The sequence below is a fragment of the Homo sapiens genome, chromosome X, assembly GCF_000001405.40.
Source record: "Homo sapiens chromosome X, GRCh38.p14 Primary Assembly".
Classification (NCBI taxonomy): Eukaryota; Metazoa; Chordata; class Mammalia; order Primates; family Hominidae; genus Homo; species Homo sapiens.
This window is the reverse complement of record NC_000023.11, coordinates 19,286,268-19,292,253: the sequence shown is the minus strand read 5'-3', so window position 1 is coordinate 19,292,253 and position 5,986 is coordinate 19,286,268. Positions and strand designations below refer to the sequence as shown.

The 5,986-nt window shown below is 45.7% G+C and overlaps 2 annotated features.

The window, feature by feature from the left end:
- Positions 255-755: an enhancer, noted in NCBI's record as "NANOG-H3K27ac hESC enhancer chrX:19309617-19310117 (GRCh37/hg19 assembly coordinates)". NCBI's record gives its function as "activates a minimal SCP1, AML or CMV promoter by ChIP-STARR-seq in primed H9 embryonic stem cells {active_cell/tissue: H9 hESC(primed)}" and the evidence as "EXISTENCE:reporter gene assay evidence [ECO:0000049][PMID:30033119]".
- Positions 756-1,256: an enhancer, noted in NCBI's record as "NANOG-H3K27ac hESC enhancer chrX:19309116-19309616 (GRCh37/hg19 assembly coordinates)". NCBI's record gives its function as "activates a minimal SCP1, AML or CMV promoter by ChIP-STARR-seq in primed H9 embryonic stem cells {active_cell/tissue: H9 hESC(primed)}" and the evidence as "EXISTENCE:reporter gene assay evidence [ECO:0000049][PMID:30033119]".

Genomic DNA, 5,986 nt, shown 5'->3' with positions numbered 1-5,986 from the left:
TCCAATAGAACTTTCTGGATGTTGGAAATGTTCTATATCTGTGCTATCCAATAAGGAATATGCAAAAAATGTACTAGACTCTTTTGAGCATAGCCTCTTTTGTGCCACAAGTCTCTTTTGAGCATTTGAAATGTGGCCGGTACTACTAAGGAATGGAATTGTTACTTTTAGTTAATTAATTTAAATAGCCACATGTGCTAGTGGCTACTATAGTAGATCGTGCAGCTAGCTCTTGCAAACCCTACTTGGTTATATCTGGGAATATTTATGAACTTAAATACAGGATTTAAGTTAACTACCATTTCTATCATATACTACTGTTCCACAGGCAATCCCTTTGTGATTTTGACCATGGTCCACAGGAAGGGATATATTTTACATAATGACCCAGTACATTTATACATGTATACTCACACATGCACACATACTTGCATATACATATATGCCTACTTCCATAAAACACTACTTGTGAGGCGCTCTGATTTTTTAATCCTATTCTAGTCTATGAAAAACTGCTGGTCATGAGCCACCAATTTATTTTCATGACCCACTAACTAATGCATCAAGCCCCACAATTTGGTAAGTACTACCCTAGGAATCTATCTCGTCCCACTGGGTGCTTGTCTTTCTACTTATGGCATCGAAGTCTTGGCTGGGTGTCACTGCTGCTTGGCCAGGGGCAATTCCAGGCTCATTGGGGTCCCTGTAGTACCAGAGAAGTTGTCTGCAGTGGACAAAGGGGGAGGATGCCCATCTCTCCTTTATGTCTCAGTCTGTTAGAGGGCTCCCAAAGCATGCAGCCAATATCTTAATTTCTTAAAGGTTCTTAGTGAAACAGCTCTTTCGGCTTTCATTCATAGCCCTCCAGCTCACACTCCAGCTGTGAGTTTGCATTGGAGGTTTAGAGGTATGAAAATCTCAGTGGCAGACATCCTGCTGTCCTCAGAATCGCTTCTCATCCTTCAGCTTGTGGATTGCCTCTCCTGCCTGATGACTAAGGTTTCCCACTGGGCTCAGTGTGTCTGGGATCAAGTTCTCTCTCTGGAGGCTCCTCAGCCCACATGTAGCAGCCATCTGGTGGGCCCGACTTCCGCTTTTCCTGACTTACAGAAATTTCCTAGACTCGAGGAACTTGATAGGTGTTATAAAAGAAGTGTGCTATGGGACCACGGTTCAGTTTGTTCTATGTAGAACTGAGGGAGCCTCAAAAAGGGATAGAGAGGAGAAAAGACAAGGATCGGGTAACAGGTTAAGTTAGTCTCAAAGGATCAGTGGAAGCTTGCAGGAAGACAGGAGGGACTGTCTGTGACCTTTCCACCTTCCCCAAGTCGAGTCAGTAGCTTTTCTGTTTCCACCACATTTTGTTCATACCTCCATTACAACTTCTCACACTTTGTTTCCGTCTAGACTTTGAGATTCTCAGGTACAAAGATCATTCTTTTTTCATCTTTGTATCCTTAGAAACTAACATGAGGCCTTTTGTATTGTAGACAGAAGTAGCCACTGAGTGAATAGACAATGACGCTTGAGGCTTTCGCCCTGAGCCCCAGGGCACTGGTATATTAAAGTGGAGCTCATCTGCCTACCTCTCAACATGATGTCTCAAAGGAAGTAATGTTGTAGACCCCGAAGTGGAAATATTAGATAGTATTGTTATTTTTCAAGATCCATCAGGCCAAGGGTGACGGTGAGTTTCTGCTAAATCTGCTAAGCATGTCAGTAAGAATACATCCAGGTGCCTGGACGGATTGATGGCAAACAAAACAGGTAAAGTTCCTGCATCCGTGGAGCCTTCTGTCTAGTCAGGGATGACAGGCAACCAACGAAGCAGTGACAAGGAGGTGTGACTGGAGACGTACAGGTGGCTGTAAGAGAACAGAAACCAGCCTAGGGAAATTAGGGGGCTTCATGGTGGAGAAAGATGAGGAGTGACCCCATGACAATGATGACCTGGGCAAAGAAGGAAGGAAAGAGTATTCTGGGAGAGGGAATAGCAGATATGAAGGCCAGAAGGCATGGTGCAGTAAAGGAACTGAAGAAAATTCTGCAGAGAGCATTGCATGTGCGTAGGAAAGTAGCAAGAGGTGAGGCTGGAGAGAGCATTGCATGTGCGTAGGAAAGTAGCAAGAGGTGAGGCTGGAGAGAGCAGCACAGGCCAGATGTTAAATGACAAGCCCACCATGGAAAGAAGCGTGCCGTCCAACCTAATGCTAATGGAAAGCCAAGGAAGGGTTTTAGGAAAGACTATAACCTGATAAGATTTGTGCTCTAGGATAGAAAACAGATTGTAGGAGGTCCAAGACCAGACACTGCTGCAGGATCCAAGTGAGGTGTGACAGTGGCTGGGAGGCACCAGGGTTCATCTAGCTGGTGGAATACGCTGGACCATGCAGGGGCCTCATGAGTGCATTAAGTACCTGGGAGGAAGAAAGGGAAAGAACAATAAGGGGTCTGTGGGCTCTAACAGGGGATACAGGGCACTGACGGCAAACCTGCTTTATCATCTGTGCTAGCTCTAGATGAGTGTAAAAGCTGAAGTGGATTCCCACGAGGGAATCGGCTTTGCTGGTAATTGCTTTCAGAGGCTCCAGGCCAACCCCAGGTCCTCTTCTAAGTGCCCTAGAGAGATGGATAGATTTGTCCTTCTGAAGACTTCCAGGGTAGGTTTGGGATCATCAACAGCAATCTCAGAACCATCCCAGGATTTCTGCTCAAACACTGGATCTTTGCCTCTAGCTATAAAATAGACCAAATCCATGGCGGGATGTGGCAACCAACCACGTCTTTTGAACTCAGGAAGTTCAGCAGCCAGGCTCATGGCCTGTATTGGTATATTACATCCTGTTCCCAATCCAGACCCAAATCCTAATGTGTAGGGAAAAAAAAAAGAAGATGCATTTCAGGCCTAAATTGGTCTTTGAGATTGTCTAGTATGGTCTCCTGAACGAACTTTCATGAAAATCAGACTACAAACCTAAAGCAGTTCTTTGATCAACTTCCTTTCTGTTTCATTTCCTGGATTTCCATGGAAATCTGTGATGAAAGAATGATTGCTGTTCTGCTTCCTGCAAGTGTTCACATTCTCACCTCTTAGTAACATTTACTGGGAATACTATAAGCAAGGAAACCCAGGAGGAAGAGGTGCAGACAGAGTTGATGATATTTAGAGGGACTCAATCTGACGGTACTTCTGGGGTCTGCTGGAGACCCTCATTTATACAGCTCGCCCCATGCACAGAGCATCTGAAGAACATCATGGCCATGGGAAACTGAGGTCCTGTGGGCTAGTGGAAGGCCGAGCACAGGTTGAAGCAGTGTGGAAGAGAAGTTTTGGCCCCGAGACTGACTCTGGCAGAGCACACTGCAGAGACCATTTTTGTGCTTTTGCTTCACTTCACTTTTCAAAGATTGTTTGAGCTCATCTTGGACATTTGGAAGCAGCTAAATCTAGCAAGGAACAGGATCATTGGCTTCTTCATCTAACAGTATTTGTGTCTGCAGCTGCACTGCCTTCTGAGCACAGGTGTGCAGAGCGTGATTAAGTGACCCCAGAAATCTGACCGCCTGGGTGTGGTGGTCATTTTTCCACCCTGATGCAATTATCTCAGGGTGTGGGGACGCTCTGTCCCACTCCCTTTTTTTCTCCCCTGCCACCAAACTCTGGATTTCAGTTAATTGTGAAAAATAACAAAGAAGTGTTATTTTTTATGCTGTTTTGCTGTTTATGCTGTTGTTGTTGATTTGCTTCTTGAACAGCTTCCTCTGATCCCTTTTCAAAGTCGGCCGAAAAAGCAGGAAGCCAGGCAGGACAAACTTTTGAAAAAGTCTTTCAGCACCTTCGTGGATCCGAATTTTAGTGTGATTTGGCAGGCAATGCGGGGTAACATGTTCCAGTGTTTTAACTTGCACAGAATTGCCAGATTAGCGATTGTTTGACTTGTCCAATTAATGAAATGTGGAAAAAAAAAAAGGGTGGTAACTGTTAAGCCTGCTGCAATGTCTAGACACGAGGGTGGGGGTGGGGAGGTGGAATACCAAGGGAGGCGACACAGAATTTCCTTGCCTTTTGGTTTTCTCATACTCAGTATTTCTGCCGTGGCACAACACCACGTGGGCCAAGATATTGATAGGTGAGAGATAATGTTTTGGTTAAAGTGAAAAATAAAGTTTCAGGCTATATGCAGGAGACATTTCTCATGTAAGCGTGTTAAAAGAGAAGCTGCAATCACTTAGCCTGCAGGGTAAACACACATGTGCATAAATATACTCTACAACCATGCCAATCCATCCAGAAGGGAGATGCTCGGGGGAACTTGGTTTTTGGAGAGAAGATTTGGGGTTCAGGAGAGCTTGTAAATGTCACGCAGGCACTTTGTGACCTTGTGTTTGGGTCACAGGCAGGGTGGGTATTGTGACATGCAGGGTTATAAGATAAATATGCCAACTGACTCATAGAATTGGGAGGACAGGCAATATAGGGGATTGTGAATTAATTAATTTTTTTTTTTTTTTTAGATGGAGTCTTGCTCTGTTGCCAGGCTGGAATGCAGTGGTGCGATCTGGGCTTACTGCAACCTCCGCCCCCCAGGTTCAAGCGATTCTCCTACCTCGGCCTCCCAAGTAGCTGGGACTACAGGCACGTGCCACCACACCCAGCTAATTTTTGTATTTTTTAGTAGAGACGGGGTTTCACCATGTTGACCAGGATGGTCTTGATCTCTTGACCTCGTGATCTGCCTCCCTCGGCCTCCCAAAGTGCTGGGATTACAGGTGTGAGCCACCGCACCCGGCCATGAAGAAATTTTTACTCTTAGTGCCTTGGTGTCTCTACTGCCCAGCAAACTTCCTTCAAAGCCCATGATGGGCAGAAAAAACCCGAGAGAGAATTAGACAAACATCTAAGGGTTTGGGGTGAGATCCCCATAGGCAAAAATCAAAACAAAACCACTTATGTTTAAGTATAGATATAAATTATTACAACACTGTACATAATGGTTATTATGTACACAGATGCAATTACATGTACTCTACCTCATTTGCGTAAGTTTAAATTAAAATTTAAATGACTGAATAGACTTTTTTTTTTTTTGAGACAGGGTCTCGCACTGTCACCCAGGCTGGAGTGCAGTGGCGCCATGTTGGCTCACTGCAACCTCTGCAATCTCCGCCTCCCAGGTTCAAGTGATTTTCGTGCCTCAGCCTCCTGAGTGGCTAGGATTACAGGCGCGTGCCAACCTGCCTGGCTAATTTTCATATTTTTAGTAGAGACGGGGTTTCACCACATTGTCCAGGCCGCTCTCGAACTCCTGACCTCAAGTGATCTGCCCACTTCAGCCCCCCAAAGTGCTGGGATTACAGGCGTGAGCCACCATGCCCAGCCTGAATAGGCTGACGTTTATGCATGTTGGGCAAAGGCTTTCCCTTTGCTTTTATTCAAAACCAGGTGGGCATCTCCCTCCCTCAGTCTCTCAACCCCCCAGGACCCTCCTTACAGACCCACATTAAAGGCAAGTACGCAAGCCTCGATTCTCACGCAACAGGCCCCAGCAGCATGGAACAGACAGCAGAACTTGACCTTTCCCCAACCCTGCCCTAGCCACAGTAGCTCCTATCCTCAGCGTCACTTCACTCCCTTAGGTGAAGGAACTGTTATTCAGAGAAGGAAATCCACGTGTAGAATGGCTCTGAGGAAATGGGACACATGAGAGGAAGTTTTCATTGGTGTCCAGGAGGAAGAAGCCTGGGATAGGTGCTACTGCCTAGGATGGCAGATGTCACAAAGAATAACCTTGGGCAGTGGGGGAAGTAGAGGCAAGAGTAACCTAGAAGCCTGGAATAGAGGAAGGAGGTGTGGGAATCAAAGGGCCCTGGGGGGAAAAAAAGAAATGGAACCACCGTATTTCAGAGTTAGGAAGAAAACCTTGGAGAATATTTTAGTCCAATCCTTTCATATTCCAGATGAGGAAACCAAAGCTCAGAGAGGTTA